The 18,477-nt window shown below is 43.0% G+C and overlaps 1 protein-coding gene across 3 annotated transcripts in view, besides 2 other annotated features; it reads right to left on the reverse strand.

The window, feature by feature from the left end:
- Positions 1-18,477, reverse strand: part of RCAN1 (regulator of calcineurin 1) — a 98,672-nt gene that overhangs the window by 24,334 nt on the left and 55,861 nt on the right. The gene's annotated exons all lie outside the window — the stretch shown is intronic.
- Positions 2,891-6,589: an enhancer, noted in NCBI's record as "VISTA enhancer hs2084". NCBI's record gives its function as "enhancer in: other[4/5]" and the evidence as "EXISTENCE:transgenic organism evidence [ECO:0001131][PMID:17130149]".
- Positions 3,262-3,411: a silencer, noted in NCBI's record as "silent region_13268". NCBI's record gives its function as "represses an Ori minimal core promoter by ATAC-STARR-seq in GM12878 lymphoblastoid cells {active_cell/tissue: GM12878}" and the evidence as "EXISTENCE:reporter gene assay evidence [ECO:0000049][PMID:35858748]".

Below are 18,477 nucleotides of genomic sequence, written 5' to 3' on the forward strand. Positions count from 1 at the left end.
GGAGTTCGAGACAAGCCTGACCAACATGGTGAAACCCTGTCTCTACTAAAAATACAAAAATTAGCTGGGCGGGGTGGCGGGTGCCTGTAATCCCAGCTACTTGGGAGGCTGAGGTAGAAGAACCGCTTGAACCTGGGAGGTGGAGGTTGCAGTGAGCCGAGATCGCACCACTGTATTCCAGCCTGGAATACAGAGCGAGACTCTGTCTCAAAAAGAAAAAAAAGCTCACAGTGAAATCAATCAAGAAATACTAAGCCATGACCAGGTGCTCAGTAGTCTACTAGGGCCTCCAAAAGCCTCAGTTTCTGTCCCTACAGGGGCTTAAGATGGAAGCTTGAGTGATGAGACTGCAGCTCCAGTGATAATATAAATGATCTCTCTTGTGTGTCACAGACACTCAGAGCTCAGGATACTAGAAGTGGAGCGTAGCAATCAGAAAAGTCTAGCTAGGTATATAAGAATCCCATCTCAACCTCCAATTGGTCCAGTTACAAAAAGTCCTACAGATGAAGGACTTGAGAATAGGGTTAGGCTTTAAATAAGTGGGAAAAAGATATACCTCTGCATTTCCTCATTACTACCTAAAAAGAAAAGGTATAAGGAAAGCTTTCCCCAATCAACCTACACAAGAATCTGCTCAGTGTAGGCGCTTATACTAGTTAGTTAACGTTCCACTATCATCCACTGTCATGTGGCATCAAATAAGCAGGTGCTTTTATTAAAGGACATATATACTTTACTCATTTTGAACAAATTTGATGGCTTGTATTTTTTTGCATGGCATTGGGTTAGTGCTAATATCTATTAACGGATGTCCTGGATTTCTTAGGAAATCCTACCTTTGCATATTTCATTTTAAAAATAAATGCTATTCACGGGGCGGGAGCGATGGCTCACGCCTGTAATGCCAGCACTTTGGGAGGCCGAGGTGGGTGGATCACAAGGTCAGGAGATAGAGACCATCCTGGCTAACACGGTGAAACACTGTCTCTACTAAAAACACAAAAAACTAGCCAGGCGTGGTGGCGGGTGCCTGTAATCCCAGCTACTCGGGAGGCTGAGGCAGGAGAATGGTGTGAACCCAGGAAGTGGAGCTTGCAGTGAGCTCAGATTGCGCCACTGCACTCCAGCCTGGGTGACAGAGTGAGACTCCATCTCAAAAAAAATAAAATAAATAAAAAAAATTTTTTTAATGCTATTCATGCAACACATTTTTAAAATTTTGGTAAGGACATAAAAATAAATACATTGGACAAAATCTTGTGTTTCTGCATACACCCAAATTTGGGCTTGGAAAGTGCCTATAAACAGAGGTGAGGTGGGGAGGATGCCATGTGTGGTGTGGTGGGATGTCATAGGTAGCTATGATAAAGACAATTCTGGAAGAACAAATTCTCTGAAGATGGCTGCAACACTGTCTCCTACTCCACATGCTCTCCTACAGCCTTGCCATTCCTGTTGGGAGAAGGAATGTATGTCCCCTGCCCTTGAATGTGGAGGACCTTTGTGAGTGCCTCAAGTGACACTATATGGTGGAAAAGACACCAAGTTTAGGTCATAAAAAGCCATGCCCTTCTGCCTTGTTCTCTCGGGGCACTTCCTCTTGGAACCCAGTTGCCCACCATGCTTTCAGGAAGCCCAAGCAGCCCATGAAGAGCCCATACAGAGACGAACTGAGGCTGCTGGCCCAGAGCTCTGGCTGAGCTCCTCACTGGCAGCTGGTATTTTTGCCAGCTATATAAGTGTGACAACTTGGGAGTGGACCCTCCAGTCGCCAGCCAAGGGAAACCCAGAGGATGATGCATGGAGGAGAGAAGAATCATCTCTGTGCAAACTGCAGATTCACAAGCAAAACAGATGACTATTGTTATTTACAGCCATTACGTTTTGGGTGGCTTGTTGTGCAGCAATAGTAACTGGAACAACATTTCTGCGATGGGCAGAAGTGGCAAGGATTGTAACTCATTAGACTCAGAAGGCGAGGTCACCTGAGTAAGCAGGGTCCTTAGTGGAACAGTGGGTGTAAGAGGAAGGAGAGATGGGTGGGTGTGGGGCTTCTTGCCATCTACATATGTAGGGTCTGCCTTTTACTTGCACATCTGTGAGAGGTGTACAACAGAGTTGTAGAAGTATGGACTCTGGAGCCAGGCCACCTGGGTCTGAACCTGGTGTTCCATTTCTTAGCTGTGTGACCTTGGGCAAGGTTCTCAAGTCCCATGTGCTTCAGATTCTTCATCTGTAAAGAGGATAATCACAGGACCTACCTCATGTGGTGGTGGTGGCACAAATTGACCTAATGCCTACATTGAGGCTTGGTGCATAGGAAGTTTCCATGAAAGCGTTCACTGTTATGATCCACATAGGTGTGGGCCTCAGACTATGAGCTGGGCTGAATGACAGCCCCTCCCTAGTCCCTGGAGCTTGTAAATATGTTGCCATACATGGAAGAAGGGACTCTGCAGGTGTGACTAAGCTAAGGATCTTGAGACTAGGAGATGATGGATTACCAGGGTGGGCCCAGTGTAATCAAGGTGTCTTTATAAGCAGGATATGGCAGGGCTGGAGTCGGAGATGGAGACAGGATGATGGAAGCAGAGATTCGAGTGATATGGGGCCATGAGCCAAGGAAAGTGGGAGTCTTTGGAACCTGGGAAAAGGCAACGAAACGGATTTTGCCCTAGAAGTAACGCAGCCAGGCTGACACCTGATTTTAGCCCATTGAGACTGATTTTGGAGTTTGATCTCCAGAACTGTACAGTCATAAATCTGTGCTGTTTTCAGCCACTAAAATTGTTTGGTAATCTGTTACATCAGCAACAGGAAGCAAATACAAATTTAAGACTGGAGAAAGGTAGCTTTATAGAACATCCAGCAGCTAGAATGTTCAAAGGAAGTTGGGCTTTGGAATCAATAAACTGCTGTCCTTTTATTTCTTCTTCTCCTGACTTAGGCTTCGAGGGATGACATTTTCTTTTTAATCCTAGCATGTGAAGTGGCCAAAGCTCAGGCTTGGGTGTCAGATGGGCCTGGGCAGGAACCCTGGCTGCAGTCCTTACTTGCTGGGGGTCCTCAGTCAACTGGTGGTGCTGGCCAAGATGACCACAGTGGCACTGACAGCCAGAGTCAGTTGCCTGCTAGCCATTCGGAGTGGTCAGTGCCCACGAGGTACCAGTTACTATGTGCTATGAATATTATCTCTAGACTGAATCCTATGAACTTCAGTTTCCTCATTTGCAATTTGGGAACAATCTAAGTCAAAGGTTGTTGTAGAATGTGCATAGGTAGGTGCTTTTCAGACTGTGGCTGCCACAGCAGCAGTAGCTGCCTTACTTGGCAACTTGCCAGAATTCTTGCCCTACCTATTGTGGTAGGCTGAATTCTCAAATGGCCCCCTGGTGGACAAGCTTTGCATGATCCCGGGACTCTGTGATGGATTCTGTTTCCACAGTTAGGTTATATTACCCTGGGAGATTATGTGGGGTGAACACTTAAAAGGGACCGGGTTCTTTCTGAAGTCGGAGAAAGGATGGGAGAGACATTCTCTGTTGCTGATTCTGAAGATGGAGGGGGCCATGTGGCAAGGACTGAGAGTGGCCTCAAGGAGCTAGAGTGGCCACGGGGATCTGAATGTGCTTAGAAGCAGATTCTCCGCAAGAGTCTCCAGACAGGAACGCAGCCCAGGAGAGAACCGGTTCCAGCCTTGTTAACCTTGAGCAGAGAACCCTGTTGTGCACATGGTGATTTCTGACCTACAGACCTGTCAACTAAGAAATGGGCATTGTAAGCCACTAGATTTGTAGTAATTTGTCACACAGCAATAGAAAACTAATATATATTTACTGAATCAGAAACTCTGCTGGTTTTTGTTTGTTTGTTTGAGACAGGGTCTCACTGTGTCACCCAGGCTGGTCTCAACGAGCCTTTGCTGAATCTCTTCCTTGTCAGAGGAGACTGCTGGTCCCCAAGATAGAAAGTAAAGGAGACCCAGCCCTGCTGTCAGGAAGCACCCGCCTCGGGTTGGAGTAAAAGTCACACATGGGACGGGGCTGTAAGTCTCAGCAAACAGCAGTGCGAGGGACGCACGTGGAAGAGGGGTAGTGAGGGCACCTTGTGGGCAGGAGAGCCTTTTAAAGACTGTATGACGTGAACTCCAAGATCTATCCTTGAAGGCCAGGGAGTGGTTGAAAGATGGAGCCCTCTGATTTCTGACTTCACTTCTGCAAAGCCTACTGTGTCATTTACTCCTCACCATCAGTGGAGCGAGAGCCTCTGGGACCACGTCTCCCGAGTCCCATGCCTGCCATCATGGTGCGGGCTGGACCAGCCTTCTTAGTGGGATATGTTCCCCATAGAAAGTAAACCAAGAGGCAAAAGCAAAGCAAAGCTACGAAAGCAGGCTCAGTGCCCCCGCCCCTTGTTTCAGTGTCACCTCAAGTTTGCTTCTTGCTCTCAGAGGGAGATCACAGCATTGCACAACGGGCAGTGTTGACTATTTGCTGGCCCTTGTCACCCACCCTTCCAAAACTCGGGCAGAGGACAATCTGAACACCAGTGTGACAGTTTCTAACAAAAGGCTTTGCTAGTACAGTGCCTGAGTGTGGGTGTCCACTGAAAACTAATTTCAGCCCTGACTAAGAAAGGCATCTCAGAAATGAGGAAGTGTATTTTGGGCTCCTGTGGTTTCTGATGAAAAATGCTGCAATGTGGGGCATGGGTGAAAGGGAAACACTGAGAAAATAGATGTGACCCCCAGTATGCTTCCTTGAAGAAGTGGGGGGCTGGCCAGGCCAGGCACAAAGATCCTTTGTGTTCCCTGAGCCTGTGACTTCTCCCGCTGTTTCTCAGCAGTTACACTAACGACATTGTGGAGGAAACAGCTTCTCCTTGCATGGCCCTGCCCCTTGCACTCTAGACTGTTTAGCCTCCCTGCTGGTCAGTCCCCTCTCCCTACAAATGCCAGCAGCTTTCCCCCAGTCCTTGCTGCAACCACAAAGTCTCGCAAGGATTTTCAAATGCCACTGGGAGGATAGCGGTGCCACCCATGGAGAATAATGACCCCAGGCCCTAAAATGAAACAGGTTGCTCTAACATTCGAAGAATAGCCCCAGCACACCAAATGCATTCACTTAATTTCTTGTTCAACAGAAAAGAATGACCTCTTTTAATACAGAGCTGCTTTGAAACATGTCATTTCAAACAGGTCCTAAGAAGATCCTGATATTTGTCTGTATCTTAACTGGATCTCTGTGGGTTGAAAAACGCTCATAGAAATGTTGAAGGACATCAGTCAATCTTTAATAAGATGAGATTTCTCAGAGATACAACATGCTGTTTGACCATCTGAAGGATGCTAAAAGAAAGTGATTTACTGAAATAAAATAGATAACAAACATTTCAGTGACTTAGAAAATGGCGAGAAATCACGTCAGGCAAGTTTATATTTTTGTGTTAAAAAATCCCCACCTAACAACACTCTCTTCCTTACATTTCTTCCCAGCAGGCCAAGAACTTACTAAACTCTGGCTCTAGAAGAAAATGACATTAAAATGCTGACTTTACAGGTATATAGTCTAGCATTTGTTGGCAGTTACTTATTAGTTTTTTTTTTTTTTTAGAAATGTAAAAACTATTTTCTTTGTTTCAAACGAATAGGCTCTAACTTAAAATAATTTACTTGTACAATTAAATTGTCTGAAAAACCCCAACAATGCTGTTAACACGTTGTTAACAGGTACACAACTCCCCTCTATTTTAGGAGCTGACGCAAAGAAGACAGCACAAACATGAACAAGAAAACAATCGCTGTCGCTTAAAAGCAACACCGTCTTAGCAGTTTAAAGACAGACACTGCATGCTCACATACTAACAATAATTATGAGTCTCCAACTCAGAGGGTAGAAGTCAGAAGACGCAAACAACATCCACCGTACCAGGAACTGAAGAATAGGAGGAAGCAGGTTTAGAATAGCAATGGGTTTTTCCCTGAGATGTACATTTTACAAGAAGCATTCAATTCCATTTTAGATATGGAAAAAGAGCGTGTTTTTCCCATTAAAAGGGGGAAACAGGAAAAGTATAAGTAGCTTGACCCATTATTATGTCCTACCTGGAAAAAAGTTTTTTTAAGTGGAGAAAATGATTAGTCATGAGTGCATGACTTATTAAAAATGACTTTCTGGGTAACAGAGACCAGATAATACCTACGTGAATAAATCTCTCCCCAAACCCTAGTTTGGGGCCCACACTTTTGCAAGGTCTCCAGTGAGTAAGACAGTAAATTCTGTGGCTGGCGTTTTCTTTGGAACACAAAGGGTCGCAAACAAACTCCTACTCAGCTGCAGCCACTACCCCTGCCAAAATTGAGTAGCTGAGGATTCAGCGAAGGGTTCGGGTTCCACGTCACCCAGGTGCTACAGGAGCCTGAGCCCAGGAGCGGGGACTGTCCCACATGCCAAGAGAATAGGGCATATCCAGGAGTCCAGGCCCATCACAGCAGCCAGGTTTTTACCTAGGTCTACTACTCTTTCCACATCACAGCTTCCCCTCACCTTTCTCCCCCTCCCTCACCTGCTCACTGCCATGTATGGGAATGCACCCCAGGAAACACACAATTTTGAAAAACATCGTCCCAAGAGAAAAAGGCTGTCATGAAGAGGCCAGGCAAATGACCTCAATTAAGTACTTTGTCCAATGCTAATGGATTGAATTCTGTTCCCCTAAAATTCACATGTTGAAGTCCTAACACCCAGTGCAATGGTGCTATGGTTTGAATGTGTCCCCCAAAAGTTTATGTGTTAGAAACTTAATTGCCATTTTAACAGTGTTGAGAGGTAGGGCCTTGACAAGGTGAGGAGGCCACGAGGGCAGAGCCCTTACAAAGGGATTCATGCCATTGTTGCAGGAGTGGGTTAGTTATCCTGGGAGTGGGCTCCTGATAAAAAGGATGAGTTTGGCTCCATGTCCTCTCCCTGTCTCCTGTGCTTGCTTCAGCTTCTGCCTTCTGCCATGCGATGACCCTCACCAGATGCTGGCACCATGCTCTTAGACTTTTCAGCTTCCAGAACCGCAAACCAAATAAATCTCTTTTATTTATAAGTTACCCAGTCTGTGGTGTTATGTTATAGCAACAGAAAATGGACTAAGACATGGTATTTGGAGGTGAGGCCTTTAGGAGGTAATTAGGGTTAGGTGAAGTCAGGTGAGTAGAGTCCTTTTTGCAAGAAGGTGACAGTCTACAAGCCAGGAGGAGAGCCCTCACCAGGAATCAACCATGCTGGCAGCCTAACCTCAGACTTCTCAACATCCAGAACTGTGAGAAATAAATTTCTATTGTTTAAGGCACCTAGAATAGGGCATTTTGTTATAGCAGCCCGAGCAGATGAAGACACCTACCACCACTCAGCTTTGGAACCAGGATTCTGAACCAAAGCCTATAGATCCTATGTTCTTAACAACTGCATTTTACTACTCTTTGAGAAGAACTGAATTTAGCCAATCAATGTAATTTCACATTGATTTTCATTACTTTTGCTTTCAAAGTTACATATGAAATTTTTTTTGCATGGCTAGATATGTGCTGGATGACTAAGAATTTTATAATTGGCATATCAATAATCAAATCAGTTTTCCTAATAAAATGACATGTCTGATTTCTGCAAAAGCTCTTCAGTGTCCTCTCAAACTGAGAAAGCTGGAAAGTAGAGTTTTCAAAAGAGTAAAAATAATAATAAAAAAAAGTTAAGGCAGTACTGCTGAGAATTTAAATTCTCTGCAATGTCGAAACTTTTGAAATATAAAACTTTTAAAAACAGTTTCACTGAGGTATACCTTACATCCCATTTTAGCACTTGTAAAACCTTTGTCTTTAACTGTATTGTGATAACATTGATATCCTGCTTAACATAAGAAATATTATTTTAATTGAAAACATTATTCATGATAATTTAAAAAGCTGCTATTAACTTCTACATCTGTCAGTAAATCTACTAAAGTTTAGTTCAAAATATGCCGGCAAAGGAATCTTAAATTCTCTTAGTGCCATCTAAATAAAACTGTATTTCTTCTAAGTTCTATTGTAAACAAAGCAAAGGACTATGCCAGAATATATAGCAATTAGAGAAAAATGCCTACTTTTCCTCTTTGCACTTATTTTGTGCGCTTGTTTCTTGTTTTGTGTAGGTTTGATGATTTTGCCAAATTGCACGGTCAGCAAACAGTTCGTTGTGGTCCAACACCCAGGATAGGGACTATGAGACCGTTTGCCAGGTGCTAGGTGGTGTTCAATCATCTCACGCCTGAAGCTCTTCATCAGTCTTCTGTTGCTCAGGCTCTTCACTGTCTCCATCCCACGTGATGAAAGACAGGCGTGTCTCTGGCCAGGGACTAAGGCGCCATGAGCATGTGTGCTTTGTTTGGGTGTTGGTGTGCTCTGACTCATGCTCTCAGTGGCCCTCGAAGGCACCAGGTGAAAGAAGAGGGTCAGACAACCACTAGCCACAGCTGTGGCAGCCTCGGTTCAAAAATGTAAAATCTGCCATGCAGGCAGTTTCAAAGACTTAACCTATGCCCTTGTATAATTATTATTTTTACTTCTTTTATAGCAACGTTCATTTTCTAACCTGAAGGTGGTTCAGGTGATGTTCTAATCTGCTTTTGAGTTTGAAAATGCATCTACCAGATGATTCATGGTGGCTGCCGAGGTGGTGAATACCGAGGATCCCAAAATGAAAAATTACGGAGGGAAACTTAGAAAAGTAGTACTCTCTCACAGCCAGAGTGGTGCTGGTGACCCTCCAGTCCAGGCTAAAACAGGTAAGCAAAATATTTGCCTTGTTTTTAATATACATCAAGCAAAACAAGGTTTAACTCTATCTGTGGCATCTACAGCAGCTGTCTCCAAGATGGAGGACAATGATGGGGACCAGGAGGAGGTCAGCAGCCTCAATGGCTGATGTTCTGAAATATTTCTGAGCGGAGCTAAGGGGGAAGTGGTTTGCCAACATTATCAGTTTATTCGTTTGTCCATCCATCATCCATCCATCCATCCATCCACCGAACACCTACAGGCACTGACCATGCCAGCTACTAGAACCCAGAGATGACCATGCCACCCAGACAGACTCCAGGAGGCACTGAACACAGACCCAGGTGAAGTTCTGAGGCCCACCTTGCTCCTTCCCCGAGATGTGCCTGCTGGTGGTGGCAGTGACAGGGCGGCACATCAATGATGAGGTGGAGTATGGAAGAATGGAAGCACTGCCAAGACTCCTGAGTGGCAGAGGCCCATTCTATTATCTGTGGACACCCTCGTTGTATTTCTAAAGAGGTTTTCTCACAGAGCAAAACCACCTGATACCCTAAAATATCATTTAGACAATTATGTTATTATTGTCCCAATTCTTACTTCCACGACAAAACAGCAGATGTGTCATCTCCCAATGAAGATGAAGACAAAACTATTCTCAAAAAGAAATGGAAGAACCATGAAGTAATCTCCATTTGAGAAACAGTTTTGCAAATTCAAAGTGGCTTCTGTGAACTTTGTTTTGGCTGAAATGAACTCCTCCCAAAAATACATATGTTGAGTCCTAACCGTCCTGGTACCTCACAATGTGACTGTATTTGGAGGTAGGGCCTTTAAATGGGTGACTAAGTTAAATTGAGGCCATTAAGGAGGAGCCCAATCCAATCTGCTGGGTGTCATTATAAGAAGAGGAGATTTGGACACCAGACAGAGAAAAGACCATGTGAGGACACAGAGATAGCATGTCATCTATGAGCCAAGGAGCAAGGCCTCTGAGGGAAATAGCCCTGCCATCACCTTGATCTTGGACTTCCAGCCTCCAGGATTGTGAAACAACACATTTCTGTTGTTTAAGCCACCCAGTCTGTAGTATTCATCATGGCAGCCCAAGCAGACTAACACCACTGCCAACTTAAGAGCATGTAACAATATAAAATATGCCCATCTCAAACTACCACCTTCATCCTTATAGGTCTCTACAGTTGGCTTTAATGTTCTCAAGGAAAAGCCTCTGAAAGAAAATGATGAGACAGGAATGTAATGAATGTAGCTTCAGTCCCCCATACTAAGGCATGCCCCCACTACCTTTAGATCCATCCAATGGAGTGGGCAGAGCTTTATCATATAGCCGATAGAATCTGTATCCTGCTATCAACTAATACCAAGCTGTAAGTAACTCATTCACATATGCACAACTCAATGCACATAACTCAATGATGTTGATAAAGTCAGACAAGGAATTCTATGACAACGATTAAACTCACCTTTTCAAATGCCACATTTTGGTAATCATCTGGAATGGGGCTCTTGTTTTTAAAACTGGGAAGACCCAAGGAAAATAGTAGAAAGGCTTTTAAAGGCACCCGTGACGCTAAGGGAAAACATTAGAATGGGTGCATACCAATAGTAACTATTTTTAATCTTATGTCCTGAACACTCTTCCTTTTTGGATGGTGTGTATGAAGGTCTGTGGCTGGCTTCTAAACTGGAAAAGTCACAGATATTTACCCTTGCAGAAAATATCTATAATCATTTCTTCCTTGGAAAAAATAATGACAAACCCTGAATCACATTTCCTAAAATTTTAAAATAATGATGTTGATTTGCTGGTTTATTTGAAAATTCCATGGTAATAAAGTAACCAATTAAATATTTAACCTACTTTTACTGGGACAATTGAGGGAAAACAGGAGGAGGCAGAAGGCAGCTCTCTCACTGGTTCAACAATTCTTCAGCTAGTCCAAAACCCATGTTCTGGTGATTGGTGATTCTGAAATACAGCTGCTGAAGTTTCCACACTGGGACACTTCCCCTAGTGAACATTCTTTTTTGATTCTTTAAGTCAATCTTAAAGAATTCTGAAGTCTCCCAAACCTTTGTTCATTGGACTTCCAGCATTTTTCCCTTGCCACTAATGTCAAAATCCCTTCTTATCCCACTAAACTTTCTGAACTCTCCCTGAATGTTGGAGGATGAAGACAAGTGGGCTGTGTAAAAAAAAAATCTTAGAATGAAGACTTAGGAATAGCGATCATGGGTCCCAGGGGAAGACTTAGATGACCAACAGTTCTAACCACCTTCCTTGCTCAGAAAGTGTCCAGTCAATGGAGAAAGGAAGGCATTATTAGCTCTTGATAAGGCTTTGGCAGAATTTGGGACAGATGGCTGTGTGCTCAGAGGATCAAGTGAAGTTTAAGATACAAGGTGGAAAGGCCAGTAGGACTCACGTGATGTCTCTATCAGGGTTCCTCTCCATCCTAGGGTGTTCCTCACTCCTGCTGGAGGGCTGGTGTTTATATGATGTAGAGAGGTTTGAGGTCTTGGATACAGAAGGGCTGGCTCTGCATTACTAGCGTTAGAGGCACGATACCCTTTAGGGTTTGGCTTCTTGTTGAACTCTACAGATGTTGTTTGGTATATAGTGTCCAAGAACAGTGGCATCACCTGTGAGCTTGCCAGAAACGCAGAATCTAGAGCCCCACCTGAGATCTACTCAAGGAGAATTTTCATTTTAACAAGATCCGAAGTGACTCCTGTACATAGTAAGGTCTGGGAGGCATTGGTCTAAGGTAGAGGGGGAGGAAGAACATGCCAATTTTTACCACGTGATTGCTAAGTGATACTATGCGATGTTAAGTTGGGTTAACTTCCAGACCAACAATTCTCCATAGGAACCCTGCCAGGTTACCACAAACGGCAAACAGGGCAGAGAAACAGGGCAAACCTGGTTTACGAGATTTTTTCCAGAGAAAATGTTTACCAGGTTGCCAAAGGCATCAGAATCAATGGAAATGACATCAATATTCAATAGTAGTGTAGCCACTCACATGCAGACTCCATTCCTAACTGAATTATTCCATTACATGTGCCTATTAAAAAAAAAAACCAATCATGCACACATAGACACATACCAAGCTGTCATTATTGAATGCCTATTCATGGATGTATCGATAATAAAAGACAGTGAGGAGGCTGACTTGATTATATTTTAACTGACTTACATGACCAATAAAGCAATAAACTTATTTCCCTCCATGGGCAATTTTAGTGGTTGAGTATATTTTTAGCATTTCCCTCTGGAGATATAGCTTTATGAACTTCACATGACCCAAACTTTTAATCCACCCCATTTGCGCAAGTTTTTCTTTTTCTCTTTAATAGGATGATAGAAGACTGGAACATAACTGCCTAATTCTGAATTTCAGACTATCTTTCTAAACACAGCACAACACAGGGAGAAGCAACTACCTTCTAGACCATAAATGGCAGAGATCTAGAAGCGGCCAGACAAGGGGTATGAGAAAAAGTATTACAAACAAAAGAAACAGACAGATGCCACATTTTTGTAGCAGCAACTCTGCGGAAGCCAACTGCTTCTCAAACCTGACCCAGCAGCCACAATGGACTTTTAGATGAATGATCCCTCACCAGCGGAGCTCACAGTGGGGGTGGAGATCCATTCCAGCTGATAGTAGGGACGAGCAAGCAACTACTGAAAGGGCTTTGGTGCTTTTGCTTCATTGGTGCTTTTCAGTTTTATTTCAAAAATTATAATAATAAAAAAAAAGACTCTAGGTGTCTGGATCAGTATGCCACATGATTTATAGCACATAAAATCATGGAAAGTCATGCCACTTCCTGATAGCACACAGCTCACGCTGGCCACTGAAACCTTTTTTCTGACTAATTCATTCCATACCGTAGTTTTCCATGGCTGATTCATAACCATATCCTACTTTTCTCATTTCCTGAAATGATTCTGATGAAGCTTATTCCACATAAAAAGTGGAACAATATATAAAACCCAGACACCTAGGTACAATTTAAAAATCTTAACTCTAAATCCCAAATCAACATTTGGCCATACATTCCTAAGATGAACCACTGTTTCTGGATTCTAAAGGACACTGTATATTCCAGTAAGCAAGCCTGTAGCACAGTGCTGGGTTCATGATCAAAACGCACTGAGTTCATTCCAGAGTCAGCTCTACTTGTGATGAAACAAATAACCTATAAAGCGAAATCTTTTCAGACCAAAGAGAGGTCTGAAATCGAGAAGAAACATAATGAGGATGCAAAGGGGATAAGAAGCAGCAACTACACCCTGGCTCTGTAAGACGGCATGTCATTACACCTTACTCAAAGGGACTCCTCAATATTTAATCAGCGATTTTTTACATTATTACCTAAAGGAACTGGAGTACTTTAAGTTGCCTCAATTTGCTGGCATTTTAAGGAAGATAAATGCTTTAGAATTACTTATGATTAAGACAAAAATCTCAGAAACAATGCACTATTCGAATCTTTAGCTAGAGCTCTCGGGAGGAGAGTAAACAAGATAACTCTACTGGTTGCTTCTCATACTCATCTTCTTTCTTTGAGACAGAAATCTTTTTATTTTCCTAGTTAGTAATCAAGTATGTGTTTCTATGGAAAAAATGTAAACACATTTTGAATTATGCCATCGCTTTCACCTTGAAATCATTATTTTATTAAGAATCACTCAGTATTTCTAACTACCTACTAGCAAGTCATTTTTAGAAATCTTTCTTTCAAAGTGAATTCTGTATTAGGTGCTGAAAGTGTGGTGCTGAAACCACAGAGCTGCTGATACATCTGGAGGCTGGGGTAAACACTGGCTGCTGAAACCACCAGGTGAGAGGCGGATCAGGAATTGCAGAAGCTGGGCCAGACTGAACACACCTGAAGCCAGGGATGGTGCTTTTAACATCACAGAAGGAGACAATCAGTGATCACATGCGTCTTGGTGTACAGCAATAGTCAGTACAGGATATTTCGTGTGAAGTAGTCTTGTCCAAATAAAAACAAAACAAAAACAAAAAACTCTGATTTTTCAGCAAGCTCCCAGGCCTCTGAGTTTAGATAAATAGATGTATATTAGTCCGTTTTCATGATGTTGATAAAGACATACCTGACACTGGGCAATTTACAAAAGAAAGAGGTTTAATGGACTCACAGTTCCATGTAACTGGGAAAGCATCACTATCATGGTGGAAGGCAAGGAGGAGCAAGTCACATCTTACATGGATGGCAGCAGGCAAAGAGAGCTTGTGCAGGGAAACTCCCATTTTTAAAACCATCAGATTTTGTGAGCCTTATTTACTATCATGAGAACAGCATGGGAAAGACCTGCCCCCATGATTCAATTATCTCCCACTGGGTCCCTCCCACAACACGTGGGAATTATGGGAGCTACAAGAAGAGATTTGAGTAGGGACTCAGAGCCAAACCATATCAGAGGGAATGCAGAGATGTGCTAAACAGTGCTAACAGTGCACTTGCTGTTTCCAGACTGTGGGACAGCCTATGAGACATATGAAAACAGTTTCACTGGGGACCTATGACAAAGGATGGAGAAACCAGATGAAAAGAGACAGAAGAGACAGATCACTGAAATGCAGTGAGTGCCTCTTATTTGGATTCTAACGCAAACACGCTAATTATAAAAAGACATTCATGAGCCAATCGGGGACATTTGAACACAGAATGGATATTTGGTGATATTAAGAAAGTACATTTACTTTATTTTTGTTAAGTGTCCTTATCTCTTAGAGATACATACAAATGAAATGATATGATGCCTGGGATATGTTTAAAATGATCCCATGATTGGCAGGGTGGCTCATGTCTGTAATTTCAGCACTGTGGGAGGCCAAGGCAGGAAGATTGCTTGAGCCCAGGAGGTCAGCACTGTAGTGAGCTGTGGTTGTGCCACTACACTCCAGCCTGGCGACAGAGCAAGGCTGTGTCTCAAAAAAAAAAATAAATAAAATAATAATAATAATAAAAAAATAAAATTACTCCATGGTGGGAAGTGTGGGAAGGAGGATTCCATGTACTGATCATTGTTGAGGCTGGGTGAGGAGCTGAATATAGGGAGTTCATTAGAATATCTTCCATGCTTTTGTATACACTTGACAACCTCCATAATAAAAAGGTATTTTTAAAAAAATAAAAGGCAGGCCGGGCACCGTGGCTCAAACCTGTAATCCCAGCACTTTGGGAGGCCGAGGCAGGTGGATCACGAGGTCCAGGAGATTGAGACTATCCTGGCTAACACGATGAAACCCTGTCTCTACGAAAAATACAAAAAATTAGCCGGGCATGGTGGCGGGTGCCTGTCGTCTCAGCTACTCGGGAGGCTGAGGCAGGAGAATGGTGTGAACCCGGGAGGCAGAGCTTGCAGTGAGCTGAGATCGTGCCACTGCGCTCTAACCTGGGCAACAGAGCGAGACTCCATTTCAAAAAATAAATAAATAAATAAATAAATAAATAAATAATTAAAGGCCAAAAAAAAAAAAAAAAGAGCAGTAAAGACTTGAGGCTAGGTGAGGTGGTACATGTCTGTAATCTCAGCACTTTGGGAGGCTGAGGCGGGAGGATAGCTTGAGCTCAGGAGTTTCGGACCAGCCTGAGCAACATGGTGAGAAACTCAATCTCTACAAAAAATAGAAAAATTAGCCGGACATGGTGGTGTGCGCCTCTAGTCCCAGTTACTTGGGAGGCTAAAGTAGGAGAATCGCTTGAGCCCAGGAGGTCGAGGCTGCAGTGAGCTGAGATCGTGCCACTGCACTCCAGCCTGGGTGACAGACTGAGACCTTGTCTCAAAAAATAATAATAATAATAATAATAATAATAATAGGTTTAAAATAAGGTCAGCACTACCCATGCTAATTCTAAAGGGATGTGGCATAAGATGGCTTTCACAATAAAATGTACAATTCATACAAGTTGAAAATATGTAATTTAATTTTTAATGATTTTTCAAGTGAGGTCTCTGATACTCTGATGATACTAAAAATATACAACAGAACTCTCTTGGAAATAGTTTATTTTTGCAATCATTGTAATACAGTCAGTAGCAAAAATATTTAGAACACTTTTCAAAAGGCTAAAAAAATATGACAGAACGTTTCAGTGCACCGTTCAGGTGAAGACCAAGTATTATTGAAGTTTTTGTTTCTTCCAATGTAACAGAAGAATACTGAGCCCAGTGGTGTGACGTCAATCACATTACCTATGAGGTTGCAGGGCCATGCTGAGAAGGGTGCTTTCACTGCACTCCTGATGAAAATATGGGGACACATTTATGGTCCTTTAAAAGCTGTAAAAGGCTGGGCATGGTGGCTGACGCCTGTAATCCCAACACTTGGGAGGCCGAGGCAGGCGGATCACCTGAGGTCAGGAGTTCGAGACCAGCCTGGCCAACATGGTAAAACCCCATCTCTACTAAAAATACAAAAATTAGCTGGGTATGGTGGTACACGCCTGTAATCTCAGCTACTCGGGAGGCTGAGGCAGGAGAATTTCTTGAACCCGGGAGGCGGAGGTTGCAGTGAGCCGAGATCACGCCACTGCACTCCAGCCTTGGTGACAGAGTGAGACTCTGTTTCGAAAAATAAAATAAAATTAAATTAAATTTAAAAAAGCTGTGAAGACCACACCAGAGCCCCTGGTAAAGGTAATGTCCATTCGGCTAGATAAGCCACATGGACACCTCACACTTGGATAGCTCACTCCAGCCACCTATGTCAGAAACACTAACTCATAATTCCCACAACGCCCCACTGAGGTGTGCAGGTGGCAGCCCACATGTTTCTGTTCCATCTATGGAAGGCTGGTGCAGGTCACGTGATTGCTCAAGTCGGGGAATGAGTCAAAGGGAAGGCTAGAAAGACAGTCCAACCCAACACCCTGAGATCCCAGCAGGCACCTTTAACTATCACAGTGTGCCTTTGCCAAGCCTGGGGAAGATGCTAAAATGAGTGACAGATTCAGTTACATTAGCAAGTAACACGTGGTGGCTTTTTAAAATTTGAGACAATTTTTTAAAATAGTAAACATCAACACAACTTTCTCATTTAACATACTTGAAAGATGAGAAAGGTGGTGGCCATCTTTCACAAAAAAAGATGATGCTGATAGATTTAACAGCCACTAGTGATGAAGATGGCGATGATGAAGATGATGAGAAATAGCAGCGATCCGAAATTGACTGCCAGTCACCTATCAGGTATGGATGTAAGCAGTCAACACTCACTCTCTCATGTAACCCTCAAGCCACTCTAGGAGACAGGTACTATCACTTTTTTATAGGTGAGGAACTAAGGCTACATGTTGTGCTTAATTCTCTTGGATGTCCGACCTGGAATCAGAATTTGAGGTAAAGTGACAATGAAATTGTACCCAGCCTAACACAAATTCTTAAAATAGTGAAGAATAATCCATCAAGCCTGTGATGAACTATGTTGACAAGTTCAAGCTGTTGAGGAGGTGCTTGTGCGTTACTGATAGAAAAGGATAATGCTTTTCATGCTGCCGACCATTCACAAGACATTTGGCTATTCCATAAAAGAGATTCTCCCTCTCGAACTCCGAGGGAGAAGGCTGTTTCAGGTTCCCATCACCAAACCACTCTGCAGCTGGGGTGCCCTGCTACCCGGTGCAGGAGCCCTGCACCAACACTCTGACAAAGAACTCCATGAGACAGTCAGAGATGGAAAGGTTTGCCAGGCCAGGACTTCCTCTAGGAAAGCAGGCCTCAGGTTCAGACCTGTTTAAGCTGACACCCAACTCCACCTCCACCGTGACTGAGAATTGAGATGACTGATGAGCTGGAATGATCAAGAAAGGCTAAGAATCATCAGGAAAGGAAATGATCAAGAAGAAAACGTTCATCATTGTTTAAGAAGGCAGGGTTGGACTGTCCATTTTAGACACTGATTCCTCAAATGGTTAAACATCACATTTCTAACAACCAAGAGGCTATATACCCTTCAGCTCTACAGAAAATCTGGCCATCTCAAACAACTTAACGTATTTCCTAAAGATTTTGAATTGTAGAGTTTTACTCTGGTTTTTCAAGGAACCACGGCATCTTCAAAAGGACACTGGTTCTAGGAGTCTGAAGTCCTGGTTTCTAGCTCTCGCTTTTCCAGTAACAAACTGAGTTGCACTGGGGAGAACATTTCATCTCCTGGATCTCGCCCTGTCTGTCGCAAAATCAACGGTAAAGGCTCCCTGGGCTCCAATGCTCCAATGGAATTCAGGGAATCCAAAAGGATGTGACCGGAAAGAACACAATCATGGATAATCTCATTCAGCTTATATAAGTGAACAAAGTGTGGGAAAGCAAGGCAGAGGTATTAGCACTCAAGTGTATTAATATCTATGCTAATGGAATACTACAAGAAACATTCCACCTAAATGCTAAAAACAGGTTTCCAATTAATCATAATTTAACAAAATACAAATTGCTGTCAGTCTAGCTACATGAAATTCCCACTAGGGCCACTGGAAATTGAGAGAATGCAAAGATGGATGGATGTAGTCTACTTATTCCAGGAATAGTTGGAAAATTTGGAATAAGGCCAGGATTAGGGAAAAAATAAAACAAAACTTGCCTGACAAATTGAGTAGTGTTGGGAAGTTTA

The sequence above is a fragment of the Homo sapiens genome, chromosome 21 (assembly GCF_000001405.40).
Source record: "Homo sapiens chromosome 21, GRCh38.p14 Primary Assembly".
Classification (NCBI taxonomy): domain Eukaryota; kingdom Metazoa; phylum Chordata; class Mammalia; order Primates; family Hominidae; genus Homo; species Homo sapiens.